The sequence below is a fragment of the Homo sapiens genome, chromosome 1 (assembly GCF_000001405.40).
Source record: "Homo sapiens chromosome 1, GRCh38.p14 Primary Assembly".
Taxonomy (NCBI): domain Eukaryota; kingdom Metazoa; phylum Chordata; class Mammalia; order Primates; family Hominidae; genus Homo; species Homo sapiens.
In genome coordinates, this window is record NC_000001.11 from 161,389,439 (window position 1) to 161,409,606 (window position 20,168).

The 20,168-nt window shown below is 46.5% G+C and overlaps 1 non-coding gene and 2 pseudogenes across 1 annotated transcript, besides 6 other annotated features; 2 read left to right on the top strand and 1 right to left on the bottom strand.

The window, feature by feature from the left end:
• Nucleotides 244-443: an enhancer, noted in NCBI's record as "active region_1989". NCBI's record gives its function as "activates an Ori minimal core promoter by ATAC-STARR-seq in GM12878 lymphoblastoid cells {active_cell/tissue: GM12878}" and the evidence as "EXISTENCE:reporter gene assay evidence [ECO:0000049][PMID:35858748]".
• Nucleotides 624-843: a silencer, noted in NCBI's record as "silent region_1477". NCBI's record gives its function as "represses an Ori minimal core promoter by ATAC-STARR-seq in GM12878 lymphoblastoid cells {active_cell/tissue: GM12878}" and the evidence as "EXISTENCE:reporter gene assay evidence [ECO:0000049][PMID:35858748]".
• Nucleotides 9,748-9,887: an enhancer, noted in NCBI's record as "active region_1990". NCBI's record gives its function as "activates an Ori minimal core promoter by ATAC-STARR-seq in GM12878 lymphoblastoid cells {active_cell/tissue: GM12878}" and the evidence as "EXISTENCE:reporter gene assay evidence [ECO:0000049][PMID:35858748]".
• Nucleotides 9,895-10,494: an enhancer, noted in NCBI's record as "H3K27ac hESC enhancer chr1:161369123-161369722 (GRCh37/hg19 assembly coordinates)". NCBI's record gives its function as "activates a minimal SCP1, AML or CMV promoter by ChIP-STARR-seq in primed H9 embryonic stem cells {active_cell/tissue: H9 hESC(primed)}" and the evidence as "EXISTENCE:reporter gene assay evidence [ECO:0000049][PMID:30033119]".
• Nucleotides 10,228-10,307: a silencer, noted in NCBI's record as "silent region_1478". NCBI's record gives its function as "represses an Ori minimal core promoter by ATAC-STARR-seq in GM12878 lymphoblastoid cells {active_cell/tissue: GM12878}" and the evidence as "EXISTENCE:reporter gene assay evidence [ECO:0000049][PMID:35858748]".
• Nucleotides 10,262-10,334, bottom strand: TRV-CAC1-1 (tRNA-Val (anticodon CAC) 1-1). Its single transcript has one exon. It is a non-coding gene; the product is annotated as a tRNA-Val (tRNA).
• Nucleotides 10,495-11,094: an enhancer, noted in NCBI's record as "H3K27ac hESC enhancer chr1:161369723-161370322 (GRCh37/hg19 assembly coordinates)". NCBI's record gives its function as "activates a minimal SCP1, AML or CMV promoter by ChIP-STARR-seq in primed H9 embryonic stem cells {active_cell/tissue: H9 hESC(primed)}" and the evidence as "EXISTENCE:reporter gene assay evidence [ECO:0000049][PMID:30033119]".
• On the top strand, nucleotides 11,851-11,957 carry RNU6-481P (RNA, U6 small nuclear 481, pseudogene; annotated as a pseudogene).
• Nucleotides 16,607-17,683, top strand: LOC148430 (ribosomal protein S2 pseudogene; annotated as a pseudogene).

The following is a 20,168-nucleotide window of genomic DNA, read 5'->3' on the forward strand; positions in this document are numbered from 1 at the left end:
TTGCACTCCAGGCTGGGCAACAAGAGCCAAGAGCCAAACTCCGTCTCAAAAAAAAAAGTAAATGTAAAGCAAAAGTTAGTTACGATTAGAAAAATGCATATTAACAAATTAAAGACTCCGCAAGCTATTTAATTAAAGAGAATTGCTTAATTCTGTCGGACCCCAAATTTTCCTGCTTGACAAATTCACAGAACCCTTTCAAACGAAACACCAATAATTAGGATTAGGGTGGAGACGGAGGAGCTGGAGTGAACGGGACTTGGCTGGAACACGTCCACGCACGAGTATGAGGTGAGGTATGCAGGTCAATGGGAACGCCACTCCCCTCGGGAAGGACACGGCACAGTCTTTTCGTCCTCCTGGGGCTGAACCCGGGACGTCAACACGAGGCTAACGGGACAGCTGTTTCTCCGCTCCCTCGTCACAGCCCGCGCGTGCTCCGCTCCGCTTCCCTTCAACCGACGTATTGCCAGTACCGTCTCCGTCTTGTCCAGCCCCCGCTGTCGGGAACTGAGAGCACCCTTTCCCAGACTTCCGGTCTTGACTCATTGCTGACGGGAAAGCTCCGGACCTCTGCGAGCCGTGGGGCGGGGCGCGGCGAGAGGAGGGGCGGGGCTCACGAGTGACGAAGGGCAGAAGGGCGGGGCGGGACGAGAGGAGGGGAGGGGCGAGCGGAGGGGAGGGACGAGAGGAGGGGCGGGACGAGAGGGGGGCGGGACGAGAGGAGGGGCGGGGCTCACGAGTGACGCAGGGCAGAAGGGCGGGGCGCAAGAGAGACTGAGAGCACTACGCGGGTGAGAGGAGGGGCGGGGCGTGGGAGTGACGGGGCGTGGGAGTGACTGGGCGCGGAGAGGCCGGAGCCGGAGGCGAGGCGAGGCGTGAGAGTGAATGAGGGAGGAGGGCTGTGAGGGGCTGGAGCGCCCCTGGGTGTCCTTGAGATTGCGGGAAATTCGGGTCACTTTTTCCCCAGGCCTCAGGCCTGCCGCGTCGAATTTGGGGTCTTCGCTAGGCCTGCAAGGTTGGCCGACGTTCAGGATCGGTGCCCAGGAGATGGGCTGCCTTCTCTGGGGCTGGGCAAGGGACTCTGCCTGGCAGCGCGCCTGGACCGGGGCGGGAGCACAGGGCTGGATGCGGGGCACCTCGGCGTGATTCGCGGCGGCAAGTCTCTTTTGCATCCCTACCCTGAGTTCCCCCATTCTCTTTCCCCGAAGCAACCACTGTTAGGGTTTTTGCGTGCCCTTCCTAGATGATCTCCAGTCGTCCCTCGGTATCCGCAGGCAGATTAGCTCCAGGACAGCAAGCACCCCATACTAAAATCTGCGGATGCTGAAGTCCCTCCTATAAAATGGCATAGTATTTACCTACAACTACGCACATCCTCCCACACACTTTAAATCAGCTATGGATTACTTGTAATACCTAATACAATGTAGTTATACTGTGTTGTTTGTATTTGCATTATTTTTATTGTTATTTTTCCTAATATTTTGGGAACCCGCTCGTGTGGGAGGTTCCCATACATGTATATATATTAATATGCATAAATATATTTCCTCCATTTTCCCCTTACTCAAAAACCCCACACTACACACTACTCTTCACCCATCTTTTCAGTTAGCAGTAAGTCTTGAATCTGTCCAAGAGCAGGATGACATGCAAAATGAGTGATTTAAAACTCTTTCTACAGCTGGGCTTTAAAGTACTTCCAGCTTTTTACTACTGTTTTGGCAGAGGGCTCACCTATGGGAATTAAAAGATGAATTTCCAGCCTGGGCATATAATAAGACTTGTCACTACAAAATAAAATAAAATTAGCTGGGTGTGGTGGCAGTCGCCTGTGGTCGCAGCTACTCAGGAGGCTGAGGTGGGAGAATCCCTTGAGCCTGGAACGTCGAGGCTGCAGGTTCAAGTGATTCTCCTGCCTCAGCCTCCCTAGTAGCTGGGATTACAGTGTGCACCACTACGCCTGGCTAATTTTTGTATGTTTAGTAGAGACAGGGTTTCACCATGTTGGCCAGGCTGTTCTCAGACTCCTGACCTCAGGTGATCTGCCGGCCTCGGCCTCCCAAAGTGCTGGGATTACAGGCTTGAGCCACTGTGCCTGGCCCGAAGTGGGGAGTTTTTATGCAGCTGGAGAGTAAAGGAGGGGGAGTTTCAGAGACCTGAGGGGAAAAGTCTATGTTTCTTCAGTCTCCGATAATGCCTTGAACAACCAGACTTCTGGGCATCAGCAATTGGACATAACATCCTTAAAGTAATTCATCCGAATCTTCTGCTTTTTTTTTTTTTTTTTTTTGAGACAGGGTCTCACTCTATTGCCCAGGCTGGACTGCAGTGACATGATCTCAGCTCACTGTAACCTCCGTCTCCCAGGTTCAAGCGATTCTGCCACCTCAGCCTCCTGAATAACTGGGACTACAGGCACGTATCACCCAGCTAATTTTTGTTTTTTGTTTTTTTTTGGTAGAGATGATGTTTCACTATGTTGGCCAAGGTTGTCTCGAACTCATGACCTCAAGTAATCTGCCTGCCTCCGCCTCCCGAAGTGCTGGGATTACAGGCATGAGCCACTATGCCTGTTCCTTCTGCAATTTTTTTTTCAAGACCCTGAAGTTATATTCTTTTGCTTGACAAAGAAAACAGTACATCAGCAGTTTATAATTATATTATAGAAGGAATATTGGGCAAAACACAAGTGCAAGCAAGCAAGGGCCTGATCAGAATTTTCATCCTTTCAGTCACTAAAAATGCTGGTGTGGTAAAATCTCAAGGGGTCCCATTATAAAATGTACCTTAGAAATTCCATGGGATGCCATGGTCTTGTTTGTTTTCATAAATAAGGCCTGTCTATCTGCCGCTGGATTTCCCTCTTGTATCCTAGCAAGGATCAGACTTTGTTTTTTGTGTATATTTTTTGATATGGAGTTTCACTCTGTCACCCATGGATGGAATGCAGTGCCGCAATCATAGCTCACAGCAGCTTCAAACTCCTGGGCTCAAGTGATCCTCCCATTTCATTCTCCCAAGTCTTTGGGACTACAGGTGTGCCCCAGTGCACCTGGCTAGGATCAGACTTCAGAAGATCCTGGCCCGACTGGGTGGCACAGGCCCATCACTCTTACTATTTCACTGTGCTCTCCGTAAAGTCCTGAAATATTCTGACCAACAGGGATGGACTCTTTTCAAGATCCACAGAGCTCCGAGGAATTTGTCCTATCCTTTTCTTCCCCTACTGCCTCATGTTGCTGGTGTCTGCTTATAAAGGAGCTAATGGAATGGGTAAACTAGGAGTGCTAGAGTGGTTGGTCTGAGACAAGGGTGAGGGGAAGGAATCAACCACTTTGGGATCAGAACAGAGGAGAAAGCAGGGCCACCACGGGAACTGTAGTTATTCCTTTCTTGCTGCTCTTTGGCTGTAGTTTCCCTCTCCCATACCATCAAGAAGCCCCAGTGAAACCACATGTACCACATTTATATTTCTTGCTCTGAGATCCATTCCCTGCCCTAACTCTCCCTGTTGTACTTGCAGGGAAATGCATTTCCCCAGGATCCCATCATGCAAAGTGAAAGCCAAAATCCTTGCTGTGTTCCACAAGACCCTTCACCTCCTCCTAGCTTACTCTGATCTGGCTACACTGGTTTTTGCTGTTTCTGGGACACAACAGCTTGCTGCTGCCACAGAACCTTTGCACTTTGTAGCCCCTCAGCCTGGAAGCTTGTCCTCTAGATAGTCTACATGGCTAGTTCCCTCACTTCCTTTAGGTCTTAACACAAAAGTTACTTCTCAGGGGGCCTGCCTTGGCCACACTATCTAAAATTCCACATACAAAGACACCCAGATATTTCATCTTCTGTTTCCCTCTTTATTTCTCTTTAGCACTTGTCACATCTGACATACTAAATAAAAACTGTTTCCTCTGCCCACACACTTTTGACATCAAATGTGTGGGTTTTCCACACCAAGCAATTCTCCAGTTCTCAATGGTCACCAATTGTGTGTCCTCCCATCTAACTCAAGTCTGGCACTAATTACCTGGAATTAATGAAGTTCCCACAGGTTAAGGACTCAGGCTCACAAGACTGCTCCTAACTTCAGATGTCAATCACAAGTTCCAGATTCTCATCTGTACTTCTCACCAATTGGCTATCAACTGGGGCTTTCCCAACACCCTCCTCTTGTTTGATAATTTGCCATAATGGCTCACAAACTCAGGGAGACATTTACTTACATTTACCGGTTTATTATAAAGAATATGACAAGGCCGGGCGCAGTGGCTCATGCTTGTAATCCCAGCACTTTGGGAGGCTGAGGTGGGTGGATCACCTGAGAGGTCAGGAGTTCAAGACCAGCCTGGCCAACATGATGAAACTCCATCTCTACTAAAAATACAAAAATTGGCTGGGTGTAGTGGCAGGCGCTGTAATCCCAGCTACTGGGGAGGCTGAGAGAATCGCCTGAACTGAGGAGGTGGAGGTTGCAGTGAGCTGAAATCGTGCCACTGCACTCCAGCCTGGAAAACGAGTGAGACTCTGTCTGCAATAATAATAATAAAAAAATAAAGAATATGACAAAGTTTACAGATGGACAGCCAAATGGAAGATGCACCGAGGGCAAGTATGGGTGAGGGCTTGGAGCATCCATGCTCTATTTAGGCTTGCCATCTTCCCAGCACCACAGTGTGTTCACTAAGCCAGAAACTCTTGGAACCCTGTTGTTTAGGGTTTGAACATAGGTTCCATTACTTAGACAGAATTGATGAAATCATTGACCATTGGAGTCAATCTCCAGCCCCTTTCTCCTCCCCAGAGGTTGGCGATGGAGCTGAAAGTTCCAGCCCTCTGATCATCTGGTTGGTTTCTCTGGAAACTGGCCCCCATCTTCTAGGAATCACCTCATTAGTATAAACTCAGGTGTGCTTGGAAGGGGCTTACTATGGATAACAAAAGACACTCCTCTCACCCCTATTACTCAGGAAATTACAAGTGTTTTAGATCTGTGTTAGGAACTAAGGACAAAGACCAAATGTATACTTCTTCACAATATCACACAAACCATATATTTTATCTTATTATCTGCCTCACAAACTAGGATGTAAACTCTATGAAGACAGGGATTTGTTTTTTGTTTGAGACAGGGTGTCACTCTGTTGCCCAGGCTGGAGTGCAGTGGCACTGAAACGGCCTTGTTATCTGGAGTAACATCCGAGGTTCGTTGTCTCACAGCCACCAAGAATAAGGATGCAGACACACAAAGAGTGAGGTTGAGAGTGGAAGTTTAATAGACGAAAGAAAGAGAATAGCTCTCTGCTGCAGAAAGGGGTCCTGGAAAAATGGGTTGCCAGACCCGTGGTGAAATTCAGGGGGTTTTTAGATGAGCTGGTGGGAGGCAGAGTCTGATCTACATAGCATGCAAAAAACTGGTCTGACCAGGTGTGCTATTTGTATACTATGGGAATCTCTGGCCTCCTCCACCCCAATCTTTGATTATGCAGGCAGGTTCACTGCCTGAGCTGCACCATGTTGCCCATTTCTTTATTACTGTACATGTGGTAACAAAAAAAGGGAAGATGGAGCCTCCATGGTGGACATGCCTGGCCCCCAGTTACCCCTTTTCTATTGGCACAGCTGCCAGCATTCCCCCATGCAAGCTTCCAGCTTGCTTACCTATGTTTGCAGCTCAATTTTTCAGGCTGCTCTTTCTTAGAAATGATTTTGGGGGCTGCTTTTTTGTTAGCAAAGAAATTCTACTGAGGACTCTTCTGCCCTCACTATCTCCTAAATAATTTCTATCTCCTGTATCAGCACGATCATGGCTCACTGAAACTTCTGCCTCCAGGCTCAAGCAATCCTCCCAACTCAGCCTCCCAAGTAGCTAGGACCACAGGTATGAGCCACCACATCTGGATAATTTTTCTGTTTTTGGTAGAGCCTGGGTTTTGCCATGTTGCCCAGGCTAGTCTTGAACTCCTGGGCTCAAGTGATCAGACCGCCTGGGCTCAAGCCATCCTCTTGCCTCAGCCTCCCAAAGTGCTAGAATTACAGGAATAAACCACCACACCTATCCATACAAAAAAAAAATTTTTTTTTTTGAGACAGAGTCTCGGTCTGTCACCTAGGCTGCAGTGCAGTGGCACGATCACAGCTCACTGCAACCTCTGCCTCCCAGGTTCAAGCGATTCTCCTGCCTCAGCCTGCTGAGTAGCTCGGATTACAGCTGCCCAACACCATCCCCTGCTAATTTTTGTGTTTTTAGTAGAAACAGGGTTTCACTATGTTGGACCAGGCTGGTCTTGAACTCCTGACCTCAGGTGATCAGCCCACCTTGGCCTCCCAAAGTGCTGGGATTACAGGCATGAGCCACTGCACCTGGCCATACAAAATTTTTGATTAAAGAAAAATTTAAGGCTGGGTGTGGTGGTTCATGCTTATAATCTCAGCACTTTGGGAGGTCAAAGCCTGAGGATCTCTTAAGGCCAAGAGTTCAAGGCCAGCTAGGCAATTTAGTGAGACTCACTTTCTACCAAAAAAAGTTTAAAAATTAAACTTTAGCTGTTTAAATTAATTTTTAATTTTTAAAAATTATACATTAGCAGGCCCGGCCGGGTGTGGTGGCTCACGCCTGTAATCCTAGCACTTTGGGAGGCCAAGGTGGGTTGATCACCTGAGGTCAGAAGTTTGAGACCAGCCTGGCCAACATGGCAAAACCTCGTCTCTACTAAAAATGCAAAAAATAGCCAGGCGAGGTGGTGGGCACCTGTAATCCTAGGAGGCAGAGGTTGCAGTGAGCCGAGATCAATGGTACTCCAGCCTGGGTGACAGAGCAAGACTCCATATCCAAACCAAAAAAAAAAAAAAAAAAGTATATATATATATATATATAGAGAGAGAGAGAGAGAGAGAGAAAGAGAGACAGAGAGAGCAGGCCCTGTTGGTGCATGCCTGTAGTCCTGATACAGGAGGTAGAAAGAAATTATTTAGCCACTGCAGCCTGGGTGACAAAGCAAGACCCTGTCTAAAAAAAAGAAAAAAAAAGCCTTAAAAATATGTACAGGTTGGCCAGGTGCGGTGGCTCACGCCTGTAATCCCCAGCACTTTGGGAGGCCGAGGCGGGTGGATCTCCTGAGGTCAGTAGTTTGAGACCAGCCTGGCCAACATGGCGAAACCCCATCTTTACTAAAAATACAAAAATTAGCCGGGTGTGGTGGTGGGCGCCTGTAATCCCAGGTACTTGGGACGCTGAGGCAGGAGAATTGCTTGAACTCGGGAAGCAAGGTTGCAGTGAGCCGAGATCACGCCATTGCACTCCAGCCTGGATGACAAGAGCGAAACTCTGTCTCAAAAAAAAAAAAAAAAAAAAAGTACAGGTTGAGTATCCTTTATCTAAAATACTTGGGACCAGAATTGTTTCAAATTTTGATTTTTTTCAGATTTTGGAATATTTGCATTATACCCACCCTAGTTGAGTATCTCAAATCTGAAAATCTGTAATCCAAAGTGCTCCAATGAGCATTTCCTTTGATCATCCTGTCAGCACCCAAAAAGGTTAGGATTTTGGAATATTTTGGATTTCAGATTTTCAGATTTGGGATGGTCGACATGTATTTTATATGAATAGTCCAAACAGCCTTCAAATATTTGGGCTTTTTTATTTTTTCTGGGAAATACTAAGAAATTATAATAAGGGAGGAGACCACCCCTTATATTGTCTTATGCCCAATTTCTACCTCCACAGAAAGAAGAAGTAAAAACTAAAAGGCAGAAATGGAATCCACAGGCAGATAGCCCAGCTCTGCGCCTGCGCCTGGTAGTTAAACATCAGCCCCTGACCTAACTGCTTGTGTTATCTATAGATTTCAGACATTGTATGGAAAAGCATCGTGAAAATCCCTGTCCAGTTCTATTCCGTTCTGATTACCGGTGCATGCAGCCCCCAGTCACGTACCCCCTGCTTTCTCAATCTATCACGACCCTCTCACACGGACCCCCTTAGAGCTGTAAGCCCTTAAAAAGGATAGGAATTGCTCACTTGGGGAGCTCGGTTTTTGGAGACGTGAGTCCACCGATGCTCCCAGCTGAAAAAAGCCCTTTCTACAACTCGGTGTCTGAGGGGTTCTTGTCTGTGGCTTGTCCTGCTACAATCATAGCTATGTTAAGGCTTAGCTGACATACAATAAACTGAACATACTTAAAATGTACAAGTTTTGACACGTGTATACACCTGGGAAATTATCACCGCAATTCGGGTCTGATTTACACGTTAGGCACAGTTCATAGGGCCTACTTTTTTTTTTTTTTTGAGACAGATTCTCTCTGTTGCCCAGTCTGGATCTCCGCTCACTACAACCTTCGCCTCTCAGGCTCAAGCGAGTCTCAAGCCTCAGCCTCCGGAGTAGCTGGGATTACAGGCGCAGGCCACCACGCCCGGGTAATTGTTATAGTTTTAGTAGAGACGGGGTTTCGCCATGTTGGCCAGGCTGGTCTCAAATTCCTGGGCTCAAGCGATCCGCTCACCTCAGCCTCCCAGAGTGCTGGGATTAAAGGCGTGAAACACCGCGCCTGGCCAAAAAATGTTTTATTTTAAATTCAAAATGCTGTAATGGAGGCTGGGTGCAGTGGCTTTTTTTACTCAGCATACTTGAGATTCATGTTGTTGTATATGTGAGCAGTTCCGTCCTTTTTTTGGCTGAGTAACATTCCATTGTATGGATCGGTCTTTCACTTGTTGATTGACATTTGGATAGTCTACAGTTTGGGGCTATTACAAATAGAGCTGCTATGAATGTTTGTGTACAGGCGTTTGTATGGGCATATGCTCTATTTACTCTTGGTAAATACCTAGGAGTGGAATGGCTGAGTCATATTGTAGTAGTTTAACGCTTTTAAAAACCCCCAAACTGTTTTCCAAAGTGAATGTACCATTTTACATTCCCAACAGCAGTGAATGAGTGTTCCGGTTTCTCCACATCCTTGCCAACTTGGTATGGTCAGTCTTTTAAATTTTAGACATTCTGATATGTGTGTAGTGGTATCTCATTGTGTTTTAAATTTGCGTTTCCCTAATGATTAATGACGTTGGACATCTTTCCATGTGATTATTTGCAATCCACATATCTTTTTTTTTTTTTTGAGATGGAGTCTCGCTCTGTAGCCCAGGCTGGAGTGCAGTGGCGCGATCTCAGCTCACTGCAACCTCCGCCTCCCTGGTTCAAGCAATTCTCCTGCCTCAGCCTCCTGAATAGCTGGGATTACAGGCACCCGCCACCACGCCCAGCTAATTTTTATATTTTTAGTGGAGACGGGGTTTCACCATCTTGGTCAGGCTGGTCTGGAACACCCTGACCTCGTGATCCACCCACCTCAGCCTCCCAAAGTGCTGGGATTACAGGCGTGAGCCACCGCGCCCAGCCCCATATATCTTTTTTTTAATCAAGTGTCTGTTCAAATTGTTTGTCCTCCTTTTAGGAGAATTGTGAAAATCTTTTAATTAAAAATGTACATTCTTTCCACCTGATTTAGAACCTAAAAATCTTGAAAGGAAAGAGAAAGAACTAACATTTTCGTGACTGAGAACTGGATGGTGACAAATGAGAAAATAAACACAGTAAAGACAAGTTTGGGGGGGTGACAGAGCAGAGCGAGTTGTGATCCCCGCTCCGTCACCACGTTCGTTTCGTTCCTCTGGACTACTGAGTTAATGATACCGGCAATCAGCGCAAAGCGAGATAATCACCAGCGCACTCTTGGATCTGTATACAGGTTTGTAAACTATGTGGAGGAAACCGACCCATCGCAGTCTCGGCCGAAGAGGCCGGAGCCGGAGCCAGAGCCAGAGCCTGAGCAGGGTCTGAAAAAAGGACCGGCCGTTCAGGACTAGGCCCTGAACTACAACTTGCTCCTCAGGGGTCCGGGTCGGAAGTGACGACTTCATTCACTGAGCAGCCATTTCCGGTTCCCAGTGTGTCCGAAGTTCCTTCTGGGTGTCAGAAAAGACACAAAAACTGACAGGGCGGAACCGCGACACGGTGCCTGATGATATCAAAAGGTCTCACGGCTCCGGAGGGACCCAGTCGCCCACAGCCGCCAGGGGCGCCGCCGGCTCCGAGCCCGTTGTCGAGAGCCGCTCGGCTGCTGGGGTCTGCCCTTCAGTCCTTCCAACTCTCCTCGGACCTAGAGTTCCGGGATCTCACTGCGATCTGGGCGAATTCTTACGTAGAATTCGAAAGGATATGGGGAAGGAAAAAAACAAAAACGGGAACCACTTTGTTTCCGCCCGGTTTCGAACCGGGGACCTTTCGCGTGTGAGGCGAACGTGATAACCACTACACTACGGAAACCAGGCGGTGGCAGGTTTTCCACAAATGACTCTGAAAAGTCAGAGGCTCACCACTGTGTCTCTGACCCACGAGAAAAGTACCCGGGCGGGCCACCCACAGCTTCGGGATCGGGGCGCGCAGGGAAGTAGCCAGCAAAGCAGGTAAGTCCCGGGCTGCTCGCGGCGGGGTCATGACTGAGGGCACAGGGGTGAACTCCATGGTGCTTCCTCAGGAAACTTCCGGCGCAGTCAGGGCTGCAGCCAGAGCCCGGAGATAGTTGGGCAGGGCTCCAGGCGTCCCCGAATGCTCGTCGTGGAGTTTTCCTGATCCTGTCGGGTCCCTAAGGAACGCTTGGCGGGGAGCGTGGACGCCCTGGGGCCAGGCCACCGCGGTCACTGAGAGCCACCCCCCCGGAAACTGGAGAAAAACGGAGTAGAAGAGACCTAGGGGACAGACTTGGCCGGGTCAAGGGAAACCAGCTCATATTTGGAACAAAATACGCCTTATGTTTGCCCAGCACTGAATTTAGAAGCATTTTCACATTCTCGAGTTTAACTAGTTTTGCAACAGTGCCACGAGCAAATTATTAAACGTGTTTTAAAGATGAAGAGACTGAAGCTAGGTAAATTGGACTTGGGTAAGATGGAAGCGCTACTTAACGTTAAGGAGAGTCTGCGACCCTGATGTTCTCAGGCTGTATCTCGCTTAGTGGGACTACACCTTATTATTGTCGGAGGAAACAAATGAAGAGGAAAGAGACCGTGAAGAGTATTCCTGGAGGGACTCAAGATACCGCTGTAGGTAGAACCCCAAGATAGCTGTGTAGAGTGACAGCTGATGTCGAATGACTTCATCTTTTCCACTGCTGCGGGTGAAATTATCTGAGGAGGTAGGAAGAGGAGATGGTTTAGGGATGCCATATGACAAAAGCTTTGGAAAATTAAGAAGAGGCCGGGCGCGGTGGCTCATGCCTGTAATCCCAGCACTTTGGGAGTCCGAGGCGGGCGGATCTCACCTAGGATCAGGAGTTCCAGACCAGCCTGGCTAACATGGTGAAACGCCATTTCTACTAAAAATACAAAAATTATCTGGGCGTGGTGGCGCGCGCCTGTAATCCCAGCTACCCGGGAGGCTGAGGCAGGAGAATAGCTTGAACCCGGGAGGCTCAGGTTGCAGTGAGCCGAGATCGCGCCATTACACTCCAGACTGGATGAAAGAGCAAAACTTCGTCAAAAAAAAAAAAAAAAAAGGAGAAGAAAATTAAGAAGAGAAGGATGAGAGAATTACCAAGGCAGCAGTGAAGACTTACGTGCTGTTGTATGATACAAATGTCCAGGGGCTAGCATGGAACAATGTTGGCTGACTGCGCCAGGAGCTCTAATCTGGCAAGAATCTAGAGGAGAAGGTGGATTGTGGGATGAATAAGCAAAGGAGGAGAGTTAAAGAGTTGGGGGTGGTAGTGAGAGAGCAGAAGAGAAGCACCTGGTTACAGGTTGAGGCTGTGCAGAATGTAGAAAGACATCAGAGATGTTCAATGGTGCTCACTTCGGCAGCACATATGCTAACATTGGAATAATACAGAGAAAATTAACATGGCCCCTGTGCAAGGCTGATGTACAAATTCATGAACTGTTCCTTTTTTTTTTTTTAAAGAAATGTCCAATGGACTGAATGCTAGACAGATAATAGTTTATCAGGTTAAGGAACTTTATCAAAAAATTGGCTTAAATAATAAAGGGAAAATATTGCCTCACAATCCTAGGTAGATCTGGGCTTCAGGTAAGTCTTCACACAAGGCTCAAAGAAGTCTCTGGGCCAGGCGCGGTGGCTCACGCCTGTAATCCCAGCACTTTGGGAGATAGAGGCAGGCAGATCACCTGAGGTCAAAAATCCAAGACCAGCCTGGTATTACTAAAAATACAAAATAATTAGCCGTGCATAGTGGTGCACACCTGTAGTCCCAGCTACGTGGGAGGCTGAGGCATGAGAATTGCTTGAACCCAGGCGGTGGAGGCTGCAGTGAGCCGAGATTGCACCACTGCACTCCAGCCCGGGCAACAGAGTGAGACTCCATCTCAATTAGTAATAATAATAAAGAAGTATCTGGTTTCTCTTGGTCCTTCTTCTTCAATGTGGACTCCATTCTGGGGCAGGCTCTCTACTCATGTTTTCAAAGTGCCCACCGTAAGCAGCTTGGGCTACAGGTTCCTGTGTTCACAGCCAGCAGAAAAAAGTGTGTACTTCTTGGAGAACTCATTGTCATGTAACAGGGATGGGATATGCTGCTTCGTTTAAATCATTAGGGCCTACTCCTGAGGTCTGGGGTAAGACTAATCCTACTCAAACTCTATGGCTGACAAATTTAGGGTACCCTTAAGAAGGGAATGGGATGTTGTAATGCTGAGGTGGCAACCAACAAACATTCTCTTCAGAGGGTAAGCCCACAGTGCTACAGAGAATGGAGAAGAATGGCATATACTTCCAGAAACTGGAGTCAATGTTAGGAAAGATTCCATTCTAAGGGCTTCCCGGCTAACGGAGTTCTCCCATGAGTAGCTTTCACTATGCAAGATCAGATGAGACCTAGGGTAGCCCAGGACACAAGGATCCTCCCATCATCCCTACACTGAAAGAGGCCACTTTCAATGTGGGCTAGTCTCTGCCCTTCCATGCCAGGAACTGAAGAGGCTGTGCCAGTACCTTTTCCCCGATCAGTCTCTGGGAAGGCAAAGCTTTTATGCATCTGGCCTCAGTGGTCAGTGAGACTGTGGGACCGTCCTGAAGGACAGGAGGTCCTGGAGTTCACCCTCATGACATCACATCTGGCTTAGGACAATCACTCTTCATGCCCTGCTCATCACTGTTCCTCACCATAGTTTCTCCCTAATGCAATGCCTTGTGGGGAGCTATTTCCCTGAGTACACAGTGATATCAGGATGTGAATCACTTTTTTCTGGGCAAAGGTGGTGGAATTTTTTACCATCATGAAGCTGAGGTTCCTTCCCCATTCTGAATTGAATAACCCAAATCTTGGCTCTTAGAGCTTCTCGTATCCCTAATTCCTTATAAAACTTAACTCTGTCCCCAACTCTTTACTATCCCATTGCTCAGTATCTTCTACCACATTCTCCTTCTTGAGATTCTGAGGCTGGGCGCAGTGGCTCATGCCTGTAATCACAGCACTTTGGGAGGCTGAGCTGGGCGGATCACCTGAGGTTAGGAGTTCGAGACCAGCCTGAGCAACATGATGAAACCCTGTCTCTACTAAAAATACAAAAATTAGCTGGGCATAGTGGCGGGTACCTGTAATCCCAGCTACTCCGAGGCTGAGGCATGAGAATTGCTTGAACCCGGGAGGCGGAGGTTGTAGTGAGCCAAGATGGCGCCACTGCACCCCAGCTTGGGTGACAAAGCAAGACTCTGTCTCAAAAAAAAAAAAAAAAAAAAAAAAAAAGACTCTGCTATCCCATAATATATAATTTTATGGCAGCAGGAGGCAATAGGGCAAAGGATTTCTTCCTTTGTGTTGTAGATGGGCTGGTGATGATGGGAAGATAAGGAATGTTATAAAATGAGTCTTCAGTAGAGGAGTCTAGTCTCAGGCAAGAAAATTGGATATTAAATTTGTAATCTGGAAAGGAAGTAGAGGAATTAACTACAGTTTTGAAACTAGTTTTTATGGCTTCCAGATTTCACCTTTTAACCTTGGTGCTATATAGTTTCTCAAAGAGGCACATTTGTTTTGATTAGCTACATAGAAAATGAAGCAGAATTATTAGTAAACTATTAGAATGAATAAAATAGTTCAATAAGATTGCTGGCTACAAAGTCAACATTAAAAAATCAGAAATTTCCACCACATCAGCAGTAGTCACCTAGAAAATATGAGAAAATAACATATCATTCATGATAGAACAAAATCATAACATGTCTAAGAACAAGACACAGAATAAATGCACATAACCTTTGTATTGAGAAACACTTAAAATTATTCAAGGGCAAGTTGAGAACTAATTAAGTGAAGAGATTTACCTTATTTATAAATGAGGTGATTTAGTATTATAAAGATGTGAATTTCCTCCATGTTCTCCTGCAAGACCCATGCGATATCAATATATCAACAGAATGGCTTATATAACTTGACAACTGATTGTAAAATTTATATGAATGCATAAGTCCATGGATAATCAACGGAATTTTGACAAAAGAAAATAAGGAGACTCATTGTAACTGATAACTGGGGGAGGGGGGAAGTGTTTGCTCGAGTCCACGATGCCAGCTCCAGACACCTCCCATGGAGGAGTCCAGTGAGCTGCCACTGGATGCCAAGTCCAAGGTCACCAACTAGCTTGTAGATTTTCTTTTCTTTTCTTTTTTTTGAGATGGAGTTTTGCTCTTTGTTGCCTGGGCTGGAGTGCAGTGGCACTGTAGCAGGACCAGCTGCAGACAAAACTCCTCAGACACCGGATTAAAGAAGGAAGTGGTTTATTTGGCCGGGAGCGTCGGCCGACTTGCGTCTTAAGAGACGAACTCCCCGGAAAAGAAATTCTTGGCCTTTTTAAAGGCTTAAAACTTTAAGGGGTCCACATGAAAGGGTCGTGATAAATCGAGCAAATGTGGGAAACGTGACTGGGGGCTACATGCATCAGCTAACAGAACAGAAAGTTTTACAGTGCTTTTTTCATACAGTGTCTGGAATTTACAGATAACACAAGTAGTTTAGGTCAGAGGTTGATGTTATTATTATTACTTTTTTTAACTCCTAGGGCTGGGTGGTGGTGTCAAGGTTGTCTGGCTATTTATCTTTTTTTTTTTTTTTCCAACTTTTTGCTTTCTCTCTTTTCTCCTGTCTTGTGAACTAGGCAAGATGGGGGGGAGGCAGCAGGAGTAGTAGTGGTCTCCTTCCTTATCCCCCACTTTGAGAATTTTCACTAATTAGTGGGAGTTCTCACTTTTATTTTTACCTTTTGAGTCTTTTTGCAAGACAGAGTGATAATGTTTTATGTAATACACTCGTGTTGAAGTTTTCTGACAAACCATGGTAGTTACAAAACCTTTTATCGTTTGAAAGAGCAAGCGTAATACACAGGGGAGCAGCAAGCAAGTTGCTATTACTAGTAATGCACTTACAGTGAGGGTTTTAAATTTTTTGTAGCTGGAAACTATTTTCTAAATAAAGACCTAGGATCAAACCTGTGTTAAACCTGTATATGCACATGTATCAACTTTGTCATGTCCTAAGCAGGTTAGTTTATTAACTGGGTCTTAAAAGCTTTTTCCTAGAGAATAACACAGTATTTTTTAATAATAGAAGATTTTAAGAGCCAGACACTTGAACTTGTGGCGTCTCTTTGGGGAAAGAGCTAGTTGAAGTTATCTTCGAGGCATTAACTCTTTTGCTTCTCAAGGCCATTGGTCTCTTATGTTAGCCTTTTTTTAAACATAACATGAAGAAACATCTAGGCTGCCAGCAATGTTTTCAGCCAGCTGAGCAAATAGGTTTTTTCCTTTTTTGCTAAAGGAGGAGGTTCTGGTAACTTCTGGTTTATATGTTTAAAGAATGACTGAAAGACTTGGAATTGTTGCTGGGCTGGATGGGTCTGGGTTTCCTAAGTAGTATGTGTACAGTGGGGACACCTTATATAGATGTTTCTTCTAGCATGGTTATGGGGGGGGTAGCAACAACAAAACAATGTACAGCATATTCATATCCAGCAAGGACAAAAGAGGTCCTTACTGGGAAAAAGGTTGAATACAGTGACAGAACAATAGGAAAACAATATTACAGGAAAACTATTAGTCTTAAGATTTTTAACTACATTTACTTGCTTGATGAGTCCTCAAGCTTCGGCTGTGCATAGACTAGTCAGCTGCCGGTGTGTGACTAGAGCAGGGCTTGTTGTCTCCTCAAGGTTCAGCCATGCGCAGACTGGTCAGCCTCTGGAGTGACCAGAGCACGGCTGTCATCCTCAGCAGCAGTTTGGTCTCATCTCAGGATCATCAGGGTTGGATAATCTGCATCCTGCTGGCTGCTACTTGTCTTGAGCTGCTGGTGTTAGCCAACTGTGGTGGATCCAAGACACCACACCTGCAACTTTAACAGCAGTGGGAGTGGACAAGGTTACAGTATAGGGCCCATGCTATATGGATCCTAGAAAAATTAGATTTTGCTTTAAACAGAGTCACTAGATTTAAAGGGGTGTCTGGCTTATAGGCATTTTCATTTATTTAATTATGAACACTTTGTATGGCTATTTTTAAAGCCTGCATTTGCTTTCTTAAGGTTAATTCCTCTTCTTCTGCGAGAAAACAACAAATGGCGGATGACACCGGTGCAGCGGGTGGGGGGGGGGGGGGCCCGGAGGCCCTGGTGGCCCTGGGATAGGGAACCGTGGTGGCTTCCACGGAGGTTTTGGCAGTGGCATCCAGAACCGGGGTCGCGGCCATGGACGGGGCTGGGGCCAAGGCCCTGGAGATCGCGGAGGCAAGGCCAAGGATAAGGAGTGGATGCCTGTCACAAAGCTGGGCCGCTTTGTCAAGGACATGAAGATCAAGTCCCTGGAGGAGATCTATGTCTTCTCCCTGCCCATTAAGCAAGGTGTGGTGGTCATGGCTAGGCCAAAGCTGGACAAAGCAAAAGGAAACCTGAGTGGAAAGCCACATCTCACCAAACAAGAGGAAAAAGGCAAATATGAAGAAACGATTGAGATGCAGAAATATGGAATCAGAGATCATTGACTCTTTCCTGGGGGCCTCTCTCAAGGATGAGGTTTTGAAGATTATGCCAGTGCAGAAGCAGACCCGTGTCGGCCAGCGCACCAGGTTCAAGGCGTTTGTTGCTATCGGGGACTACAATGGCCACGTTGGTCTGGGTGTTAAGTGCTCCAAGGAGGTGGCCACCGCCACCCGTGGGGCCATCATCCTGGCCAAGCTCTCCATTGTCCCCGTGCGCAGAGGCTACTGGGGTAACAAGATCAGCAAGCCCCACACCGTCCCTTGCAAGGTGACAGGCCGCAGCGGCTCCGTGCTGGTGCACCTTATGCCTGCACCCAGGGGCACTGGCATCGTCTCCGCACCTGTGCCCAAGAAGCTGCTCATGATGGCTGGTATCGATGACTGCTACACCTCAGCCCAGGGCTGCACTGCCACCCTGGGCAACTTCTCCAAGGCCACCTTTGATGCCATTTCTAAGACCTACAGCTACCTGACCCCTGACCTCTGGAAGGAGACTGTATTTACCAAGTCTCCCTATCAGGAATTCACTGACCACCTCATCAAGACCCACACCAGAGTCTCCGTGCAGCGGACCCAGGCTCCAGCTGTGGCTACAACATAGAGTTTTTATACAAGAAAAATAAAGTGAATTAAGCATTAAAAAAAGGTTAATTCCTTTAGTTTCTGGAGGTCACCTTTAATTTGACCTATGATTTAGGGGTGGCCGACCGAACAAAATCTTATACGGCAAATACCTAGTTTGTTTGTTGGGGGTGCACCTGACTCGGAGGAGGACCGTAGGCAAAAACCTGATTTTATCTTAAATGAATTTCCTGGCAATATTTTTTTCAGTAGCTGCTCGAGTGTCCAGTTCATGTGTTCCACCTTTTCTTGAAGTTTGTGGCCGATAGGCTGTGTGTAACTTCCATTTTATTTTTAACAGTCTTGTTAAATCTTGCACTATTTCAGCTACAAATGCTGGCCTATTGTCTAACTTTAAAGTTAGAGGTAGTCTAAACCTGGGGATAATGTCTTTTAACAGTACTCTAGTCACTTCTTGTACTTTTTCTGTCCTGGTGGGGAAAACTTTAACTTACCCTGAAAAGGTGCAAAGAAGCACTAGCATGTACCGATAGCCTCCAGCACGGGGCAGTTCTGTAAAGTCCATGAGCAAGTTTTCACAAGGTATGGCTCTTTGTCCTGTTTAAGTTTCTTAGAGGAGGGTTTCTTCCCCCCACCCGGCCTTTGTAACTTTATCTAGTGGCTTAGCCTTCAGTGAGAAGCTGGAATACAGATACGGCAGAATCTTGCTGCTTTTAACTTCTAATGTGACCATGGGCTCCTGGGAGCCTAATGAGAAGGTGCCTAGTCTGCCCTAGTCTTTACATTCTTCAGCTCCTGTCAGCCTGATCAGATCAGTATTTGGTTCCTCCAAGGTGCAGCTGCCCTTGGCCGATGGCCTCTTTGTCTTGCGGCCTTGGCCATTTCCTTTATTGCCTTCTGAACATTTACCCTTCTAGTGTCCTTTCTTTTTGCATCTCATACATTATTCTCTCTCTAGCCTTGTCTGGCTCTTGAATACTTGCCTAACTTGACTTCTTTCTTGTCTACATCCACGTCCATGTCCTCTCACATTGCTAATTTTTTTTATAAGAGCTGTTGCTAACATATTGGCTTTTTCTTCTTAAGTCTTTAATTTACTTTTTTTTTTTTTTTTTTTCTGAGTTCTCCTGCTCCTACAGCCAGCTGGTGGGGCCGGGCAATGGCACGGGCCCTGCCCCCACGCACTGCTGTCTGTCTCTCCTGTTTCCTTCTGATTCTCTTTTTCACACTTAGTCTTTCTTTTTCTTTTGCTCTTTCCCAGTTTTGTTCCTTGGTCACAGTTAACGTACACCTTGGTGGCCACTTTTATAGACTAGGTGGTATTCATGCCTGCAGCTTCTGCTTGCTGTTACCGTAGGCTTGCTTTACAAATGAAGTATTCACTATATACTGATTTTCAGCAGCCTCAGGGTTAAATGGGGTGTAAAGCCAGAATGCTGTATAGAGTCTCTTATAAAACTGACTTAGGCTCTTGCCAGCTCCTTAAAGCATTCCTGAAATCTTTTTTATATTACTTGCTTTTTTCTACCAACTCTTAACCTCTGCAGAAGTGCTTCTCAGTACCTCTGCAAACACTGAAGCTGAGTTGCATTCTCTGGGCCTTTTTTCCCCTTTTTCCTGGAGTTTAACAGGCCCTTTTCTTTATATAATTTTTCATGCACTTGGAGGGTTAAACAGGCATACTGAGAGTCAGTGTAAATGTTTACAGTCTTACCTTCACTGAGTTCTAAGACCCGAATTAAAGCAATGAGCTCAGCTTAACAACAGTGTCCAGGGTTACCACTGCATATTCTGCATATCTCTCTCCTTGTGGGTTGATGAAGCTGTATAGCTCCCAGTCTACTGATGCCCAAGGCTGGTCCCGGAGGTCAGGTCTGCTAGAGTAAACTTGAGTCCAACACCTCTGCACTGTTATGCTCGACAGGGCTCTAGCTGCTGGGAGCAAGGTGGCAGGTTCAGGGTGTTTCCAGTTTAGTAGATCAATGGTTGAAAAGGGCTGATAGATGAAAGTCTGTTGCCCCCCAAGATGTGGGCCTGGTCATTATAATAGACAGGTCCTGGTGTCTTCCTGAGAGGCATTTGCATAGCTCCAGCAAGACCAGATCTGAGACGGCCCACTTGACTATCTTGACCTTCTTCCTTGGCCTCTCGAGGCTCCAATCCTCCCCTTCGAGGTGAGACCTGGGGCCTGTTAGCTCCTGAATCTCATTTCTGAGGGGGCTGTTGGCTTCAGTAAAGGTGGGTAGGCTGGGATATGTGGAGAAATAATTTCTATTATCTTTGGTGGCTCCTGCAAAACTGGCTTCTTTTGCTGTTTCTGGGACTCCCTTTTTAACTCTGACTGCTGGCGAAGCTGCTCTTACTTTTACTTTTGGCTTTTTTGCAATAAGCTGTTAAACAGGGCTAAATTTATGCTGGTTTTGTCTATATTATATTTAACCATGAGTCAATATAAAGGAATTTAATCTAGGTACACTGGCTGTCCTCTGACCCCTGTCACCACCTTAAATACATGGCCAATTGTTCCCTGTCTATAGT